At 39.1% G+C, this 21933-nt stretch overlaps 1 protein-coding gene across 8 annotated transcripts in view; it reads left to right on the top strand.

The window, feature by feature from the left end:
• Positions 1-21933, top strand: part of MED13L (mediator complex subunit 13L) — a 319118-nt gene that overhangs the window by 281672 nt on the left and 15513 nt on the right. For all 8 annotated transcript variants that reach the window (XM_047428608.1, XM_017019090.2, NM_015335.5 and 5 more), the window contains 9 exons: positions 4065-5002; positions 8734-8913; positions 9533-9756; positions 11650-11842; positions 12482-12905; positions 13419-13638; positions 15084-15272; positions 20284-20507; positions 20709-20851. In XM_047428608.1, coding sequence (XP_047284564.1) covers positions 4065-5002; positions 8734-8913; positions 9533-9756; positions 11650-11842; positions 12482-12905; positions 13419-13638; positions 15084-15272; positions 20284-20507; positions 20709-20851 — 2735 coding nt within the window. The remainder of the gene's footprint in view (positions 1-4064; positions 5003-8733; positions 8914-9532; positions 9757-11649; positions 11843-12481; positions 12906-13418; positions 13639-15083; positions 15273-20283; positions 20508-20708; positions 20852-21933) is intronic.

Below are 21933 nucleotides of genomic sequence, written 5' to 3'. Positions count from 1 at the left end.
TTATTTTGTGCTGGAAAATGTGCATTATTTTCTAAATGAAATTTTGTATGCAGACAGTCCCTGACTTACAGTGGATTTACTCAGGAGTTTTTGACTTTTTGATGATGTAAAAGTAATACACGTTCAGGACATGCTGTACTTTGAGAACCCATACAACCGATCTGTTTTTTACTTTCAGTACAGTATTTGATAAATTACACGAGATAGTCAGCACTTTATTGTAAAACAGGCTTTGAGTTAGATGATTTCCCCAATGGTAGGCCAATGTAAGTGTTCTGAATATGTTGAAGATAGGCTAGGGCCGGGTGCGGTGGCTCAAACCGTAATCCCAACACTTTTGGGAGGCCGAGGTGGATGGATTGCTTGAGCTCAGGAGTTTGAGACCAGCCTGGGCAAATGGCGAAACCCTGTCTCTACAAAAAATACAAAAATTTAGTTGGGCATGATGGTGTGTGTCTGTGACCCAGCTGCTTGGGAGGCTGAGGCAGGAGAATCACTTGAACTCACGAGGCGGAGGTTGCAGTGAGCCAAGATTGCACTACTGCACTCCAGCCTGGTCGACAGAGCAAGACCCTGTCACAAAAACAAACAGATAGGCTAAACAATGATGGAATCAGTTTTCCCTGTGATGAATAATTTCTTAATAAATAAAGTGATTTGATTGATAGAAAAGGCCACAAATTCAGATTTCTGCTGTGGTCAGGTAAGCAATATATAGATGAAATGGACAGGGTAAATGCAAAAGAGTTGGTACTACTGATGCTCAGCACCATTGTGCTGAGCTTAAGGAACCAATAAAACAAATTTGTGGTCCAGCCTCAGCCTCTGGGCTGCAAGTTTGTGACCTTCTGTAAAATCATCCTGATGAAGTTAATTTTAATGTCGTAACAAGACTTCCTGCTTGTGTATATAAAGTCAGTGTCAGAAAGAAAAACGGTGACAGAAAAGTACAGAGGAATCCTAGACTTAGGAAGCTACACTTGCAGTATTAATAAGACTGAAATTCCTGCCTTGCAAAAATTATATGCATGACCTTAAATGACCATTTTACGTGGGTCTTCCCTTTAAAATGGAGTAATCCTGCTCTGCCTCCCGCACAGGACTTCCACAATGCTTCAACGACTAATGACTGTAGAAGTACCGTGGAAATAACAATGCACCAGCAGTATAAAGAGTGTGCTGAAAAGCACCCTGAGCGCCTGGCTGGTGTGCTGCTGCTGTGCTCCGATTGTACTCTAGCTTACTCAGCTAGATCCTGGCACAACACACCTAGAACACCTTGGCGCATAAGGGGTTAGCTTAGCACATACAGTTGCCAATAAATGACATAGCAGTTTTAAGAACCCATTCAGCAGTTTAATCTCTTTCATACATACAGGTTTCCCCAAAAAGGTCACATGCAAGCTTTTGCTGTGTAATCGTTTAAATCATTTAGGTCATTATTTAGATCTATTACATCTTTCATTTGCCATCCCAAAGATTCTTTGTATTCTTAACTGGCTCTATTATACAACTTTATGTGATGAAGGTTTTGTTTTTGTTTTTGTTTTTGTTTTTTGGGGGGGTTTTTTGGAGACAGGGTCTCGCTCTGTCACCTGGGCTGGAGTACAGTGGCACAATCACAGCTCACTGCAGCCTTGACCTCCTGGGCTCAAGTGATCCTCCCACATCAGCCTCCTGAGTAGCTGGGACTACAGGCACGTGCCACCACACCCAGCTAATTTTTATGAAATTTTGTTGTAGAGTTTGTGTCTCCCTGTGTTGCCGACACTGGTCCTGAACTCCTGGGTTCAAGTGTTTCTCCTGCCTCGGCCTCCTAAAGTGTTGGGATTATAGGCATGAGCTACTGCACCTGGCATGTAGGTGATTCCTGTCTGCACTGTCCACTATGGCAGTCATCAGCTTCCTGCTGCAGGTGTTGACCACTTGAAATGTGGCTAGTGAGACCAAGACTGAATTGTTTTATGTTAATTAATTTAAATTTAGGACATGGGGACTGGTGGCTACCTTATTGGACAGTATGTTTCCAGCATATGTGTAATCCTGCTGTGGTCTCTGCTCGCCATCACCCTGGACTCCTCCTTTGTCACATGCAATACCCCTGCAATCATTTGCTTCATGTCTGCCATACTTGCTTATGAGCCACCTTTTGTTTCTCTTTTTCACTTTTGACTATCCAGCTTCTAGCGTAGGGTTGCTACTCAGTTCATTTTTATTAAATGGGAAAAATCAGATTACAAGATAAACCATTCTTACTACCCAGGGAGCAATTTAATTCTTTAGGTTTTCAGTTAGTACTCATAGTTCCTTTTCTGATCTGAACTGCGTAATAATTTTAGGGTTTTGTTGAACAGGAGAATTTGAAAGGAGTCCAGTTAGAGTAAAGATCGTTATTACACACTTAACTATTTTGGTCTCTAAGAGAGCAGTGATTGCCAATCAAGTTTTCTGGGTCATTTTTTTTTTTTTATCTGTACTCAAAGATACCACTGTGCCTCAGATTTAATATTTCTTTACAGTGCCTGATTTGGACTTTTAGGCTGGTAGTTTAGGCATAGCTAATTAAAAATCACAAGGAAATTATTTGAAGAGACATTTCTTTATGACGTGCTTCTTTCACATTATAAGTAACTGAATATGTAGTTTATTGGAGGAGCATTAGTTTAAGTACAGTATTAATATATATAAAAGGATATTAAAAAATTTTAAAAATATTCTTTTGATACCTTCTAAGTAGGAAGAATGGACTCATATGCTAATATACATATACATCTAAGAAAGTACAGTTGTCCCTTGGTATCCTTGGGGGATTGATTCCAGGACCCCCTCGGATACCAAAATCTGAAGATGCTCAAGTACCCTATATAAAATGGCAGAGTATTTCCTTGTAATTTACACAAATCCCTCTGTATACCTTAAGTCATCTCTGGATTACTTGTAATGCCTAATACAATGTAAATGCTATATAAATGTTGTACTTTACTGTTTTGATTTGTGTTTTTTAACTGTTGTTTTTTTTTTAATTGTATTTTTATTTTGATTTTCCATCTGTATATGGCTGAATCCACAGATGTGGAACTTGTGGCTATAGAGGGCCAACTGTATATCAAGAAAATGTTTTATGATAATGAAACAGCAGAACCTTGCAGACAGTGTTTTCTGCCTAGCTGTTCCAAAAAGAAGTCACTGCTTATGAGAAAGTAGATAACATAGCCCAGTCAGTCTTGGGCAACTAAAATAATTACACTATATGCAATGCATACCATATTGAAAAGTGAAAAATGAAGTGCTTACCACCCCACAGAAAGCTGCTGGAAGCTGGAAACTCTGATACAGTATGTGTACTTCTGTGCAACCACCTAATTAATACTGAGGCCTCTTAGCCGCATATGTAATATTTCTATCAGTTGTAGTATAGTACTGGTAAATGGGCTACCTAAAATATAATTCCCTCATGGTCACTCATTACTATAAAAATGTAAGCCTAGATAGGGCTGCATTTTGAAAATTAGAAAAATGTTAAATTTTCATGTGTATTTGATTATAACTACTTTGATATGATATATAGATTATAGCCTCAGAGAACAAGTACACTGGCAGACTTTGAATTTCAAAAAAAAAATGACAAAAATGTAATTGCAAATTAGATGGAAATTTCATCCTATGGTCCTCTAGCTAATTTAGTGTCTGCACTTATGGTTGAAGTTCCATTTAGTAGTTAACTTTTCAAATTACATTGACCAAACCCAGTACCATGTTTTCTTATAAAAATAGTAAAAGTTCCTTCAAGAGGTTAGGATGAGGATGCTTATATGTGGAATAAGTAGAAGGAAAGTGCTGTGTTGAATTATTCTTCATACCTTACTTTCTTCTTCTCTACACACTGCACTGACCTTTGTATCTTCTTTTTTTTTTTTAAGAGAAAATTAAATATACCAGTGTATCCCAGTGATAGCAGAAACAAATGATAAGAAATACACAGTACATGGCTGGGGTGATCATGTGTCTAGTTCAGCATCTGTGACATGCTGCCCTTCCTCACTTGGTGCCTTCTCTTTTTGTAGTAACGTGCCTAGTGTTGGGAGCCTAGCAGATCCAGACTATCTGAACACACCACAGATGAACACACCCGTGACGTTGAACAGCGCTGCCCCAGCCAGCAATAGTGGGGCAGGAGTCCTACCATCTCCAGCAACCCCTCGCTTCTCTGTCCCCACACCACGAACCCCCAGGACCCCAAGAACTCCCAGAGGTGGGGGCACTGCCAGTGGTCAAGGGTCTGTTAAGTATGATAGCACCGATCAAGGATCACCAGCCTCCACCCCCTCTACTACACGGCCCCTCAACTCTGTGGAGCCCGCCACCATGCAGCCAATTCCCGAAGCCCACAGCCTCTATGTTACCCTGATTCTCTCCGATTCCGTGATGAATATCTTTAAAGACAGAAACTTTGACAGCTGTTGCATCTGTGCCTGCAACATGAACATCAAAGGGGCGGATGTCGGGCTTTACATCCCCGATTCTTCCAATGAGGACCAGTACCGCTGTACCTGTGGGTTTAGTGCGATTATGAACCGCAAACTTGGCTACAATTCAGGACTCTTCCTTGAAGATGAGTTGGATATTTTTGGGAAGAATTCTGATATTGGTCAGGCTGCAGAGAGGCGCTTAATGATGTGTCAGTCCACCTTCCTTCCTCAGGTGGAAGGAACCAAAAAACCCCAGGAGCCACCCATAAGCCTTCTCCTCCTCCTCCAGAATCAACACACACAACCTTTTGCTTCACTGAATTTCCTGGACTACATTTCCTCTAACAATCGCCAAACTCTTCCCTGTGTAAGCTGGAGTTATGACCGGGTGCAAGCAGATAATAATGATTACTGGACGGAATGCTTTAATGCGTTGGAGCAGGGGCGGCAGTATGTGGATAACCCCACTGGTGGAAAAGTGGACGAAGCTCTGGTGAGAAGTGCCACTGTGCACTCTTGGCCTCACAGCAATGGTAGGTGTCCCAGAACACAAATTTACTTTGAGGAGTATCTTGGTATGATCATAACTTAAAAGCTTTCTTTACTGTATTTGACAAAAAATTTTAATTTCATGTCTTTCGGGGGAAAAAAAAGAACCTAAAGTGAGAGCTGTATTGATTTTATCCTAAACTTATGGACTGGGAGAATGTTTTATATTGAAATGCCTTTGGAGAAGAGTAATTGTTTTCTGAAATTTTCCTCTTGTAACTCATAAGTAAGCAGTCTATGTTGGGAACCTGTGACCGCTGAGTATCAGAGTCGTCAGGAGCTTACAGACTGATAATTTGCACACTCTTGCATGCTTAAATCCACCATTCTTCCAGATCAAGTTTCCAAGGAACCTCTTCCATGAAGCCTTCTAGCCATTTCCAGAGTCTCTTCTCCCTTCTCTGTTTTCCCCCTTTGTTGTATCACTTATAACAAAATCACATTTTACTTTGCATTGTGGTTACTGGGGCATATAACTGGTTGTATTATTAAAAGCTCCAGTGAAGTTGGGCTGTAAGAGTGCCAAGCAACTTGCTGTTTCCTTTTCTTACTCATTCACTGCCTAAACTGCAATGCATCATGGGGGATAAAATGGTTACTGAAAGAAACAAGGCACTTACCCTCATGGACTTTCTAATCTATTCTGGAAGTGGACATCAATTAAATAATTACACAAGCACGCATATTATTACAACCCATTTTATAAGTGATAAAAGCATGGGATAGACGGGGCACTCTAGGCTGAAGGTCAGAGAAGACTTCGTTGTAGAAGTAGTAACATTTGCTCAGAGATCTCAATGATGAGTACACATTAACTGAGGAAGGAGAATGGGGAGCGAGGCATGTGTCCCAGACAGGAGGTGCTGCAAGTGGGAAGGCCCTTGGTTGTATGGAGCTTGGGGCCTTTAGAAACTGACGCGAGGTTAGAAGCATGCAGGGGCTAGATTACAGTGACTCTTTAGAGGCATGCTAGGGGTTGGGTCTTCCTGCAAAAAGCAATACAAAGTCATTGAAAGGTTTTAAGAAGAAGCACTGATGTCAGATTTGTGTAGTTAAAAAGGAAAAATAACAATGTGCACTGGCTATAATTCTGGGTATGGATTAGAAAGTGGCAGGAATGGATTTGGGGAGACAAGGAGGTTAGTGAGGAAGACCTAGTAAGAAACAATAGCTTGCCTTAGTGTCCTTGTGAAGAAGGTGGAGAAGAAATATTATTGCAGGACTCAATAGTGAGTTGAGTTTTGGGGATAAGGGAAAGAGAGATGTTGAGGAGTCCCAGATTTGTTACTTGTATACCTGGATAGTCAGTGGTGTTCAAAGATAAGACTATATCTGGAGAGAAAGTTTATAAATTGAGTTGTGGAAGTTTGGAAGTTTTAAAGATCCCTTTTGATATATCCAGGTAGAGGTATCAAGTAGACTCTTGGGCCTTTTGCTCAGGGGAGAGGGAGTGGTTGGCATATAGGTGATAACTTCAATTAAGGGGGCACAGATGAGCTCATTGAGGAGGAGGAGAAAAGTATAGACGAGAAGAGGACCTGGTAGAGCTTAGCTACATTCTGACGGGTATAGGTGAGGCAGAGAAGCGTGAGCCTATCAAGCAGAGAAGGAAGAACCATAGAGGGGGCTTTTGGAAGCCAGGGGTAGCCAGTGTTTCAAGAAAGAGGAAGTGATTGACAGGCATTAAAATGCAAGTGAAGATTTTAAGATAAGGATTAAACATGTCTTCTGACCGTGGTGAGAGCTGTTTCTGTAGAGTGGTGGGAGCAGAGGCCAGACTGGAAGGGTTGTGTGAATGATGTGCGAACCCGGCTTCTGAACAACTCTCAGTCTTGCAGGGAAGAAAGTTATATAAGCTTCTTAAATACAGTTTGAAATCTGAAGTAATTAAAAGTATGTCCAGAGGTCAGTAGAGTATGGGGAGTGATGGGTATTTTCTGACTAGGCCAATCAAGGAAGCTTTCATGGAGGTAGAGATGACTAAGAAAGCATTAAAGGGTTATGCTCATTTGTATAACTGCTTAGGTTCAAGCACAGTGCCTTATACTTAAGCAGACCCTTAATCAGTTTCTACTGAATGAATTTATGAAGTGAAGAAAATGCAGCCTTTCCCCTAAAGAAATGTGGATGATCAGCTTGGGTGAGTCCTTTTACTAGATAGGCCTTCGGACAGAAAAGCAGTCTGTGTGCATGAATCAGTGGTGTCGTCTTTCAGGATGAAAAATAAGACATTTTATTGCAGGGGAGGTCTGGGTTTCAAATTTTAAGATGCCTAAAAGTACCAGATAATGTAAATGAATGTGATGGGAGACATTTGCAAAAGGCAGTGCCTTAAGCTGTCTTTTCAAAACTCACTTTCTATTTTGCAGGCACAGGAATAGGGTTCATAAGAAACGTGCTTGCTTTTAGTTTCCTCAAATCTGTGGTTCTCTTGGTCTGTGATTTCCTGCTTTTGATAGAGCCATTAATACAAGAAGTATTCACTGTTGTTGTTTACTATATGTAAAAAGAAGCACTGGCTGAAGATAAAAGGCAATGAAAACTGCATCAGACTCAGGACAGACAGCAGGGAAGGGGCCATGAGGTGCCTGAGAGGGACAGCTGCTCCTCAGCTCCAGCAAGTGGTGGTTATGCAGGAATATGGGTCTCCCAGTTCAAGGGAAGCTGGCAATCTAGATTTGTGTGTGAAATTTCCTGGAGTGATTTGTTCCAAAGTTTAACAAAATATTCTGTGGACCACCACTTTGCAACCTGTGTTTTACTGATTTAGGGACACGTTTGAAAATGTCTTAAGAATCCTTAATCATCCTGTGTTTCAAATTTAGTTGGCAGATAAATCTTAGATTTCTTTCCATGCCCCTTCCCTCATCAGCTAGAAGGGTAAGAGGGAGGCAGAGTCTTCAGGAATCCAGCTGTGCAGATTCACACCACATCACCTCCAGCGTCATTAGCTCTTTCTGCAGACCTTTTTAAGAATCTGATTTGCATGATGAACCCTCCATCCTGAGAAAAAAATACGTATGTCCAAGCGTGCTTGCACAGTTTTGCATGGAGTTCAGACAACTTTCAAATTTTAGGTTAGAAATCCCTCCCCAGGGCGACTGCTGGGACTAAAGTCATCTGCATTTAGAAGGCAGTGAATCCCATCCGTGCCTGCAGCGGACTTCGGTCCTTGAGGGCTTCAGCTGTGTTTCCCTGTGCCTCTGGCTGCACTGAAGATTGGCCTTCTCTTCATGCATTCTGTATTTTGTGAAAATATTTTTACAATTAGGAGCATTTAAAGAGTTTTTAAAAGCTTTTATTTAAGTTCCATTTTTTCCTACTTATCATATAAACAAAACATTGATATTTGCAAATAAAAGTAATAATTAAGAAACTTTTGCAGCTGTCTTATGAAAATCCTTGGAAACAGATTTCCATGGTTTTAAAAAGTCGCACCTATCCATTTTTCCACTTTTAAACAATTCTTCCATTAAACTTTTTTATATAGAGTAATCCATTTCCCCTTTTATTATTGTTGATACTAAATTATCAATTATTTTCTCTAATTTAGTAGAAGAATATCTTTCCTCCTGACTCCTAAGTCAAATATTTTAGAATCTACTACAGCTAATAACGTCATTGTTCTGAATATAACTGAGGCTCGAGGTGATGGTGAGGAAGAGGAGGGTGCTAGCCCCCTTATCTTCTCTGTTTCTTCTCACTTCTCTTCCAGTGCTGGACATCAGCATGCTCTCCTCCCAGGATGTGGTTCGTATGCTGTTGTCCCTGCAGCCCTTTCTCCAAGATGCCATCCAAAAGAAGCGCACGGGCAGGACCTGGGAGAACATCCAGCATGTGCAGGGACCACTCACTTGGCAGCAGTTCCATAAAATGGCAGGACGGGGAACCTACGGTAGGGTCTTTGTCCTGTTTAAAATTCCTTCTGACTTCAGTGCTGTTCAGTGAAGAGCAGCGTTAGTTACTGTCAAGTCCTTGCGTCACTAACAAAATAGGGGAGTCTTTTTCTTTGACCATTTAGTTTTATAATCTCTTTGTTTTCCTAAAGTTACTTTTGGAGTCAAGTTTCCTACCACCCTTGGCATAATCCAGGTCAGTGAGGAAGCTAATCCCTAAAAAGTGCATTTTTTAGATTCTCCTCATTTTCCCAATCCTCACTGCATTTTCATCTGGATGGACTTCTGGGCCAGTTCTGTCTACTTCATCATAGTCAGAATCATAATGCTTATCTTGAAGGAAATGATGTAGTGCTGCTTGGAAAGTTAATTTTAACTTGTTCTAGTCTGCCCTCTGATCTTACTGAACCTTTATAAACAAATTCTGACTTACTTAATTAAGAGTCCTCATCAGTGACCATTTAATTAGATGATTTCAAAAATACTTTTAAGAATGTCTTGTGAACATGGAGTGACATTTCAGATGCCAGAATTAAGACCAGTGCACCAGGAATTTCAAAATTGTAAGGTTGTGGGAAAAACTCTCTAGCACCTTTCTACACTACAATGTCATTTTAGGTTCGGAAGAATCTCCTGAGCCGTTGCCCATCCCCACTCTGCTGGTAGGCTATGACAAGGATTTCCTCACCATCTCGCCATTCTCCTTGCCGTTTTGGGAGAGGCTCTTGTTGGACCCATATGGGGGCCACCGTGATGTTGCCTATATTGTGGTGTGTCCAGAAAATGAGGCCTTGCTCGAAGGAGCCAAAACTTTCTTCAGGGACTTGAGTGCTGTATACGAGGTGAGGAAGTTACTGTGAAAATTGCTTTTTATGACTTGGATCCTCTGATTGTTTATAGTGATGACTAAATTTCAAGACAAATGTCTTGAAAGTAAATCTCAGAGAAAATTTGCAAACAGGTGGATGAAGAAGAGAATTGAATTGGCCAATTTTTCTGGAAGCAAATTGCTTTCCCATCTTTGCTTTATATTTGTTAGATTTAGAAAACGTTCCCCTCCCATTCTTACCACACGTCTTAAAATCCCATCAGTTCTCTCTTCTCCATTTATGTGCTAAAAGTTGAAGAATATTGCTCACCAGGGGAAAGTGTGGCTATGTAGAAGATGAGCTTTACCAAAAGAGCACATCTACTCTTTGTATTTATTTACTGGATGGATTGAGGGACAGGGTGAGTAGGTGAGAGTTCCTGACAACAGTGTAAAAATGTGTCTTTTGCAAATTTCTGAATTGAAACATAAGTTTAATGAATAATGTCCCTGTTGTGTTTTAACATGACATCTTAATACTGAAACTTTGATACTGATTAAAAATATAATTCCTATAATAATGTAAAAACCAGGCAGATAATTTTACATCTTTAGTATATGAATTCCTGTTGCTTTAAAAAAAATAGAATCATGTCTGTCTTTGAAGAATAAGTGCCACATTTCTTATGCCAAAGTATATATGCACTAAGTTCTTTGTATCTGATACATCTAATGTCTTTGTATTCAGCAAAATGAAATTAATATCTGTAAAATATTTAGTACTATGATAGGCATGTAAACATTATGAAAGTGGTTTTTAAATAAGATTCCAAGCTGAATTGCAAAATATTCCAAAACAGGACATTCATGATCTATAAATGTATGAGTAGGCACGGAATAGTAAATTTACGTTGTTGCTACAAAGAAATGAGGAGATGCTAACATGATGTAATGACATCAATTAAGTCACTGCCTTGGATACATTCATTTCTGAACAGTGTCTGGTCAGGGCATATATAATACTATTAAATCATAATTAACAGAAAATTTGTGTAAGCAGTTTTAAAGCCCAGCCATTTCCTTGAATGGAACCTTCAACATAAGTTACAAAATGTAAAAAGCACTGCCAGATCTTTTTAAGAGGGTACAGACAGACACTCTTTTAAATTTTTCTTAATGACTTCACTAGGGTTGCTTATTCGGCAGTAATTGATACCTCCTTAGGAAGAGTATACACTAGAGGATTTTGTCGGGGCTTAGTAAGCCTTCACTTCATCTACTCTAGTAAGGGATAATAATACGGGCTCTCCTGCTGGTGAACAGGTAGTTTACTTTTTGCAGGTTTATTATATTCCCTGCCATAAGCACCCATTTAGCGTCATGGAGATTAATAGCAGAATCTCCTTGTCCTATTTACTTTAAAAAAAAAAAAGGCGATCAGCATACTCACTGCTTCAGTGGCCCCTGCTATTGGTGATCTCCAAATGTCTGTAACAGAACAGATGGCCCATAAAATTTTAATGTTATCTTATGGGAAAATATTATGAGTAGGGATTACTTAGGAGATTTTAGTGGGCATATGTCTCAGTTAGCAACAGTAGGCAGGAATCTGCTAATTCTTTGTCCGTTAGCAATCAGGTAGTGTTCAGCAGCCTCCTCTTGTACAGGAGGAATTGGCTTGAGTGAAGAAACATTTTTTTTTTTAGAGAGCCTAGTCCAAGTTTTAGAGAGACAGATAGCAATTTAAGGGTACATTACAATTACCTGAAAGGACCAACTTGTAATGTTGGTTTGATTGCATGTGATAACCCTAAAAGAAAAAGGAAAATGCTTCCATATGTATGTTAAAGAATCTCCCTTGCTAACCATTGGTACTGAATGAAGGAATGGCTCCTGTTATAACTAATGATCTTGTCTATGATATCAGATGTGTAGGCTTGGGCAGCACAAGCCCATCTGCAAAGTGCTACGTGACGGGATCATGCGCGTGGGAAAAACTGTGGCACAGAAGCTGACAGATGAGCTTGTGAGTGAGTGGTTTAACCAGCCTTGGAGCGGCGAGGAGAATGACAATCATTCCAGACTCAAACTTTATGCGCAAGTTTGCCGCCATCACCTAGGTAAATGGGAATTTATTTGGCAAAGTAGAATTGGAGAAGTAAAATAGCAAATCCGTCCCATCCCTTCTTTTATAGATGCAACATTATATTTCTTTTGTCTCAAGTAATGCTGTATTTGTTAAGGTCCAGTTTGGTGTTCTGGGCAGTTTAATGCTAATTTCTATATGGACATATATTTTTTAAAAACTATTCAAAGTTGCCTAATCATGTCTAATTACTGCACATTTTGAAAACTTAGCAGCATGACTTGGTATTAGCTGCTTAGTTTTAACCCATATTCTGAAGAGAATCTTAGAAGCTTGTAAACCTAGGAGCATAATGTCCCATGATGACTGTGGAATATATAGCTTCTCATTTTTTAGGGCAGGCACATGGAATCAGTCTGAAAGGAGACTATCACAAGTGATTGATTTTCTCTTTTCAAACAAGCCTCTACTGTAGAATTTATAAGTTGCTCCATGTGCATCTCCATGTTTGCAGAATACATAAGCATGACTGTGGAGATAGTATTTTGGGTATTGTAATCAGAGTATTGCAGCCTGAAAGCATAATGTTTTTACAAGTGACCATTCTAGATTCTGGTTCAGTCCGACACTGCAGAATATCACTAAAGTCACCTCTTTGCATGTATTCTTTCAGCACCTTATTTAGCCACTCTGCAGCTTGATAGCAGCCTATTGATACCACCTAAATACCAGACCCCACCAGCAGCAGCACAGGGACAAGCTACGCCAGGGAATGCTGGGCCCTTAGCTCCAAATGGATCAGCAGCTCCCCCAGCTGGCAGTGCATTTAATCCCACCTCGAATAGTAGTTCTACAAATCCTGCAGCAAGTAGTTCTGCATCTGGTTCCTCTGTGCCACCGGTCTCATCGTCTGCCTCTGCTCCTGGTATTAGCCAGATAAGCACTACCTCTTCTTCAGGATTCAGTGGTAGTGTTGGAGGGCAGAACCCCAGCACTGGGGGCATTTCTGCGGATAGAACGCAAGGGAACATAGGCTGTGGTGGAGACACTGACCCTGGGCAGAGCTCTTCTCAGCCCTCACAGGATGGACAAGAGAGGTATGTTATTCACTAATTGAGATGAGTGGCTTCAGCTCAGACCCTTTCTCTCTTCTTCTTCTGCACCTTTTCTCCCTTGACCTCATGATTCTGTGAATCCTATGAAGTGCTCTATTTCTCTTCTCAAAAGAAAGGGGCAATGGTCGATCTAAAGCTGCAGTGTTAAAAATTTGAGACTTCTTATAAATTATTATGAATTATAAACTTTATTATTAAACTTACTTACTATCAACTTAATTAGTAACAACTTTGTACAACATAACCACAGAAAAGAAAGGGGAGTTGAAAAAGATACCTCCCATTTTAGAGGAGTACATTGCCATTTTCCATCTGCCCTCGATGCTCTCTGGCTTGGTTTGCCTGTATTTTGGTAAGGTGATAAATGTTACTCTTACCTTTAATCTGTAAACATTCTTTAGGGAGCCTGTGTGCTCTAGAATTGAGCCCTTTTGTTTTTCATGTTCGTGTAATTTATATTTATTTTGTGCATCTCACAAGTGACTCTCTCTCCAGTGTTACAGAAAGGGAGAGAATAGGAATTCCCACGGAGCCTGACTCTGCAGACAGCCATGCCCACCCTCCAGCTGTTGTCATTTACATGGTGGACCCGTTCACGTATGCTGCAGAGGAGGACTCCACTTCTGGGAACTTTTGGCTGTTGAGCTTGATGCGCTGCTACACAGAAATGCTGGATAATTTACCTGAGCATATGAGAAATTCTTTCATTCTCCAGGTTACTGTTTGCAAGTTTATTATTTACTTTTGATGTTGTTATTTTTGTTGTTATGAAAATAAATACAGGCCTATGATTTTTCTTAAAAAATGGAAGTACAGGTTAATTATCCCCTAACCAAAATACTAGGAACCAGAGTGTTTTGGATTTCCGATTTTGGAATATTTGCATATATATAATGGGAGACCTTTGCAGTGGGCCCAAGTCTAAACATAAAATTTATTTATGTTTCATATACACCTTACACACATAACCTGAAGGTAATTTTATACAATATTTTTGGTCATGTTGTGCTTTATACAAAGTTTTGATTAAATTTTGACTGCAATACATCACATGAGGTCTGATAACGGAATTTTCCACTTGTGGCGTTTTATTGGCATTCCAAAAGTTTTGGGTTTTGGTGCATTTTGGATTTCAGATTTTTTGATTAGGGATATTCAACCTGTACATGAAAGTATAAAAGAAAAATAGTCATAATTCCGTCTTTTACATTCAACCACCATAACCATTTTGGTGTATTTCTAGCTTGTTTCTCTATTTTTGTTTACACAGTTGAGATCATACTTTTAATATAACTTATTTTCTACCTAATGTTATTCATTAACACATTTTCATATTATTTAAATTCTTACAAGCAACATTTTTAATGACTGCATATTTTCCATAGTCATTCCTATATCTCCACTTCTTTACTGTTATAAATAAAGCCATAGGACACGTTTATGTATAATCTTATTTTTCACATTTCAGGTCATTTTTAACATGGATTCTTAGATGCTGACAAATATTGCCAAATTCCATTCCAAAAGAGGTTACACTTATTTCCTTTCATCAGTGAATGAGTATGCTTATTTTCACTGCACCTTTGACAGCTTTATAGTGTAATGATTTTTTAAAAAATTCTATATAGATGAAAAACAATGCTTCGGATGTTTGGGTTTCGTTTTAATGTCACTTTAACTGAAGCTATCTTGTAAAATTAAAAGATTGAAATTAAAGTTATCAGAGTACATTGCTGATAGTTTTCCATTGTTTTGAAGTCTGTATCCTAAATGATTAGGTAATAATTCCAAAAAATGCCATACACACTGTGTAATTATAAAAAGAAATATAATAAAATTTTGGGGCCATGGTAATACCTGTAATAAATTGAGATCTTACCCCTAAAGTGGGAACATGGTAGTTTCTAAGTGACAGTATAACTTGACCAACATAATCGTACATCTTTTGAAATTGCTGGTGATAGAGAATTTTATGTCAGCGGAAGGAATTAGGATTTAATTATATTATGTGTGGCACAGATATATTTTAAGGCTGAGGTTACCTCTCCCCATTGTGGTAAGGAATTCATGCCGTTTCCTTTTTCAGCTTGCTTGTTAGTGTGTTAGATCTCAGTTTCTAGGTTTTTGGTTTTTGTTTTTTTTTTGTATTTGTGTCTTTAGATTGTGCCTTGCCAGTACATGCTGCAGACAATGAAGGATGAGCAAGTTTTCTACATTCAATACTTGAAGTCCATGGCATTTTCAGTGTACTGCCAGTGCAGGCGACCACTGCCTACACAGATCCACATTAAATCCCTCACGGGATTTGGGCCTGCAGCCAGCATTGAGATGACCCTCAAGAACCCTGAGGTAGGTATTGGCAGGACAGAAACTTAGAAAATTTATACTAAAATGCAAGCTAGAAGAGGTATTTTATCTAACCCAGAGATTGGCTGGTTGCTTAGTTGGTCTTCTACATTGATATAAGAGTTGCTAGGCTGGATGTGTTGGCTCACACCTGTAGTCTTAGCACTTTCGGAGGCTGAGGTGGAAGGATTGCTTAAGCCTAGGAGTTTGAGACCACACTGGGCAACATAGCAAGACCCCATCTCTACAAATTTTCTTTTAAAAATTATCCAGGTGTGATGTGTGCCGGTAGTCCTGGCTGTTTGGGAGGCTGAGGTGGAAGGATCACTTGAGCCCAGGAGTTTGAGATGGCAGTGAGCTGTGATCACATAACCACTTCCGCCTGGAGAGCAAGACCCTGTCTCAGGGGGGAATAAAAACGAGTTGGCAGGTTTCTTTAACTCTTAGGTTTAAATAGAGGAGATACTTCTCTGAACTTTAAAACATTTTTGAGAAGAGAGGCAAGCAAATTCTTACTGTTTTTTTTATGTAGGACTTTAGGCAATAATAAATGTATCCCTTTTAGTTTTTAATGTTTTAATTTCCTAAATTTATTTTCTTTATTTTTCTAAGCTAATCTGTGTCTTAGATCAGAAATCCTTTGCGTTTTCCAGCTCTGGTCTGTATCCTGGGACAACAGTTGTAGTTGTGTTTACTCTGCAGGGGTCCCTCGTTTTGTGATGCACATACTTAGAGGAAGTTGATTTCTCCTTTCCTTGCCTCAGTGCTTCCGTATATAAATGAATGCATTTTCACTCCATCTTTTAAAACCTACTTCCTACAGATATGTGTGGATCTCAAAGGGAATTTTACAACACCAAAGCTAAACATGTTTTAAACAAAAGTTTTACACTTCCTTTGTTTTTCTAATCACCTTATCTTGAAGATAGGTATAAAAAGCAATGTTCAGAATTTTCAAAGCCTTCAAAAATCAGTTCCCACAATTTTATTGCATGAAAAGTATCCCATTAGTAAAAGCCAGCATACACCTCTTTACCATAAGAGAGCTCCTTAAAACACCAATTGCTATTTTTAGTTGGTAATGTTGTTCTGAACAACTCTATGAAATGCTTGCACTTTTATAAGTAAAATGCTTGGGAGTGAAAAATGATGCAAGTAGTTAACACTGTGTTTGTTGTAACTTGGTGCAGGTCAGCTTAGTCCCAAGGGAGAAAAGCTGCTCAGCCAATGACCTACATTCACTCCAGTGTTATATAAAATTTCTATTTTAGGCAGTTTTAGTTTAGTTTATTCTTTGAGTTTGAATTTTTCACTTCTATGAGCAATTCATCTGTTTTCTCTGTTAAATTTTTCTAGAATTTCAAAAATAAATGTCTCTACTTGTTTTTTATTTTGTTTCCAGAAATTATGAATTATTGCCTTTCTAAAGGTTATTATGCTCAGGCAGAACACCATCAGGAGCTCATAAGATAAAGTGAGGTTTAGATTAAAATAAATGGCAAAAAGACTTCGAGTAATATCGTTTTTCTCCATTTTGCTTGGAACAGGAAGAGAGAAGTAAATGATTTTACTTTATTAAAAACAAAAGAACCAAATGTTATAAATATTTGCTGAAGTTTATACATTTTAATCTGCATTAAGGTAATGGTTAGTTGGTCAATGCTGCCTCTGCCTCAGTCTGCAGCGAGAACATTGTGTTTTCATTTGGTAAATACAGTTGAGCATCTACGGTGTGCCAGGTGCTGTATTAGGTGCTAAGGATGCAGGGGTGAACAAAACAGGCCCCTGCCTCCATGCAATTCTCATTCTCTGGGTGGCACAGTTTTATGCAAGTTATCACATGTGAAAGAATTTATAGTTTTTATTATGCAAGTTTTCAAATAAATCCAATTGCTGTTATCTTTTGTTTTTCATGGAATATCTCGCATCTCAGAACACAGTTTGGGAATCATATTTTATTTAGTGTTTTCAGATGCTATCTATTATATCTAAGATATTTCACATTTAGCCATTCGTTTTATAAAAAACTCCAGGCAAACTCAGCTGGACTTTTCTTGCTTTAATAACAGCTTTATTGAGATACAATTCACATATCACGAAATTCTTTTTAAAAATTTTACAGTTCAGGCCGGGCGCGGTGGCTCATGCCTATAATCCCAACACTTTGGGAGGCTGAGGCTGGCGGGTCACCTGAGGTCAGGAGTTCGAGACCAGCTTGGCCAGCATGGCAAAATCCCGTCTCCACTAAAAATAAAAAAATTAGCCAGGCGTGGTGGCGGATGCCTATAATCCCAGCTACTTGGGAAGCTGAGGCGGGAGAATTGCTTGAATCCATGAGGTGGAGGTTGCAGTGAGCCAAGATCACGCCACTGCACTCCAGTCTCGGCGACAGAGTGAGACTCTGTCTCCAAAAAAAAAAAAAAAAAGAAAAAAAATTGTACAGTTCAGTGGTTTTTAGTATTTCCACACAGTTGTACAGTCTTCACTACTATCTAATTTTAGAACATTTTCATCAACCCTCAAAGAAACACAATATTCATTAGCACACACTACTCATTCCCCACTCCAGTCCTTGGCAACCACTGGTCTACTTGCTGTCTCTATGGAGCTGCCTGTTCTGGACATTTCTTATAGATGGAATCACACAATATATGATTTTTTTTTCTTTTTTAGACAGGGTCTAATTATATTGCTCACGCTGGTCTTGAACTCCTGGCCTCAAGCAGTCTTCCCCCCAATTTTTTTATTTTTATTTTTGAGGCAAGGTCTCGCTCTGTCACCCAGGGTGGTGTGCAGTGGCAAGATCACGGTTACTTGCAGCTTCGACCTCCCTGGGCTTAAGTGATCCTCCTGCCTGAGCCACTGGATTAGCTGGGACTACAGGCATGTGCCACCGTGCCTCGCTAAATTTTTGTAATTTTTTGATAGGGGTTTTGCTATGTTGCCCAGGCTGGTCTTGAGCTCCTTGGCTCAAGCATTCTGCCTGACTCAGCCTCCCAAAGTGCTGGGATTACAGGCGTGAACCACCTCGCCTGGCCATATGCGATCTTTTATGTCTGGCTTCTTCCAGTTAGCATAATGATTTTGAGGTTCATCCATGTCATAACATGTACCAGTACTTCATTTCTTTTCCTGGCTAAATAATACTTCATCGTATGGCTGTACCACATTTTGTCTATCCATTCATTAGTTGATGGACATTTAGGTTGTTTCCACTTTTTGGCACTTGTGAATAATGCTGCTATGAATATGTACAAGGTTTTTGTGTGGACATAATATTTCTTTCTCTTGATAAATACCTAAGAGTGCAGTTTCTGGTCATGTGGAGAGTGAATTGATGAGTGTTAGATTAGCTTTGCAACTTTGAGCAAGTCATTGAATATTTCTCAGCCTGAGTTTTGAATCCCTATGATGAATGAATGAGTTGGGTTATATTATTTTCAAAGTCTCTTTTAGCTTTAAAATTGTGTCATTCTGTTACTGCCATGCCTAATGCTGTGTAGTTCAGGGGTCAGCAACTATGGATTTGGGCTGTATCTGGCCTGCAGCCTGTACTTGAATGACCAGCTAGGTAAGAATGATTATTACTTTTGTGTTTTTGAGACAGGGTCTTACTCTGTCGCCCAGGCTGAAGTGCAGTGGCATGAACCTGGGTCACTGCAGCCTCGACCTTCCAGGCTCAGGCAGTCAGCCTCCCAAGTAGCTGGGACTACAGGCATGCACCATCATGCCTGGCTAATTTTATTTTATTTTTTGTAGAGAGGGAGTCTCACTGTGTTGGCCAGGCTGGTCTTGAACTCCTGGGCTCCAGTGATCCTCCCACTTCAGCCTCCCAAAGTGTTGGGATTACAGGCATGAGCCAACACACTTAGCCAGTGAGTACATTTTTACAAAAAGGAGAATGTGTGACAGCCATAAAAATCTAAACTTAATTCTCTGGTTTTCTTTTTTGTAGAAGTTAGCTGACCCCTGTTGTAGTTTATTAAATAGTAAGATGTGTATTATGATGGCTGTAAAAAATATGACAATTAAAACATTTTCACAGTTGATCTAAAATATTTATATTTGGTAACAACTGTTGATTTGATTTTTAAAATTATATACACAGACACACATATTAAACTATATATGTACTCAAAAGTACTCAATCATAAGTGTACTGCTGAATGAATTTTCAGTAATTAAAAAAATATCATTTAACAAGTGCAAGAAGCAAATACATAACTGGTATCCAGAGCCCCTCTTGTGGCCTTTCCAATCCCTTAAAGATAGTCACTATTCTGACTTCTGACAGTGTAGTTTTGCCTGTCTTTGACCTTGATATAAATTGAATCATCTACTTTGTATTCTTTCACATTCGGCTTCTTTTATTCATTGTTGAGATTCATCTGTTTTGTTGCTTATAGTTTTTTCATTCTCATTGCTGTTTAATATTCTGATTCTGTTAACTATATCACAATTTATTATCTCTTTCACTGTTGATGAGTATTTAGATAACTTTCTGTTTGGAGCTATTGTGATTAATACTATCGTGAATATTCTTATACCTGTTTTTTGGTAAACATATATGTGCATTTTGTTGGTTCAAAGGGAGTATATGTTTGTTCAGCTTAAGCAGCAATGTATAAAAATTCTTGTTGCTCCATATTCTTACCAATATTTTCTCTTTTTTTATTTTCGACATACTGGTGGTTGTGTAGCATTATCTCATTGTAGTTTCAATTTCCCACTTGCCTAACAACTAATGAAGTTGGGCCAATGCAGTTTCTAAAATAGTAATTTCTTTTAATAAGGAAATACTGGCTTGATTGAGTTTCCCAGCTTACATGATTTAAACAATCATTTTGTTATGTGTCCTCAGTACTATTTATGTGTCTCTAGTACTGGAGAGAGAGAGAGAGAAACGATTTACTACCATTACTCCCTGTGGGTCCCCTCAGTGTCGTTCTGGATTTTGTTGTAATCATTAAGTTGTATGGCTTTGTACTGATATTGATTTTGGTTTTGATTTCAGCGGCCCAGCCCAATCCAGCTTTACTCCCCTCCCTTTATATTGGCCCCAATCAAAGACAAGCAGACAGAGCTGGGAGAGACGTTTGGTGAGGCGAGCCAGAAATACAATGTGCTCTTCGTGGGCTATTGTCTGTCTCACGACCAGCGCTGGCTTTTGGCTTCCTGCACTGACCTCCATGGGGAATTATTAGAGACCTGCGTTGTAAATATTGCTTTACCAAACAGGTGAGAAGACTTGATGTTTATGGTGCATGTAAATTAATGCTGTACCGTTCCTCAAATATGAATATTTCCAGTTTTCTATGTAAATGAAGTGGGTACAGCATGGATAGGTTCTTTGGAATTTCTAGTGTTTGTCTTATAAGTGATAAATAACTCTGATTTATCTAGGGACCCCTTCCCCTTCCCCATTTCTTTATTTGTTAGGTCACGGAGGAGTAAAGTATCTGCACGTAAAATTGGACTACAGAAGTTATGGGAGTGGTGCATAGGGATTGTCCAAATGACATCTCTACCCTGGAGAGTTGTAATCGGGCGACTTGGGCGTCTTGGCCATGGGGAGCTTAAAGGTGAGAAATTTTTGAAGAAGTATTTGCAGAAGACAGAGGAAAAGGGCTCAGCTATTGTCATTAACTGAGCTAAGGGAGAAAATGTTTAAATTTGTAAGAATTAAACAGATTCTATTTTATGATTCTTTTATATGTACAGGATAAACCAGTTTTAAACTCTTCTTTGGCAACAAAATAAATATCCAAATAAAATCTTAAATTTTGAGCCCCAATATATAAAACAAAAAGAGGGTTTTATTAATATAAAAATGATAGTAAATTCACATTTCGAACATTTATTTATATATTGAATCAGGGAGAAGAACTAGTCAGTTTTAAGACAAAAATTTTATATCAGTGATTATAGGTGACAGTTGAAGTCATATAAAAACAGCCTTCAATTTGTTTGGTGGTTGATGATGAGTTTTGTGTTTCTTTAGTTTTTTTGGTGGCACAACAGCAAAGAAATCCTGTTTCATGAGGACAAGTAGTTGCCAGTAGAGGCAGTCTTTATTCACATTGCCACTGTCTGATGTTCTTGAGCCTGGAAGCTTACAAGAGCAGATTTTTGAAGTTCAGTCCCCAACTACCACTGCTTATATTCTTTGTCATAAATTTAACAGTCAGGAAGCACTTTAACTGTAACACAACACAACTGACCACCAGCAGCTGCCTTGCCTGGTGCTGAGCCCAGCTCATTTACTATCCCAATGTAGCTACTTGTACAGTTTTATGTGAGTAGTATGAATTAGCCTAGATTATTTTTAAAGCCTTATTAAGTAATGACAGATTTGTAAGAAGTTCAATATATGCATTCAGATGGGAGAAGTTTTTTCCCTAAGATCTGCACAAAAGAAAGACTTAATGTCACAGATTAGCTTGGTGGCTTCCTGGGTGCAAATACATTAGAGCAGAGTCAGCAAAGTTTCTTTGTAAATGGCCAGATAGTAAATATTTTCAGCTTTGCAGGCCAGATGGTTGCTGTTGTGACTATTCAGTTCTGCCGTTGTAACGTCAAAGCGGCTCTAGACAAGTGTGGATGGCTGTGTTTTAATAAAACTTTATTTACAAAAACAAATGGGAGGCAGGATTTGGCCTGTGGA

Source organism: Homo sapiens, chromosome 12 (genome assembly GCF_000001405.40).
Source record: "Homo sapiens chromosome 12, GRCh38.p14 Primary Assembly".
Lineage (NCBI taxonomy): Eukaryota > Metazoa > Chordata > Mammalia > Primates > Hominidae > Homo > Homo sapiens.
The sequence above is the reverse complement of the archived record's forward strand: the minus strand, read 5'-3'. Positions and strand labels throughout refer to the sequence as shown.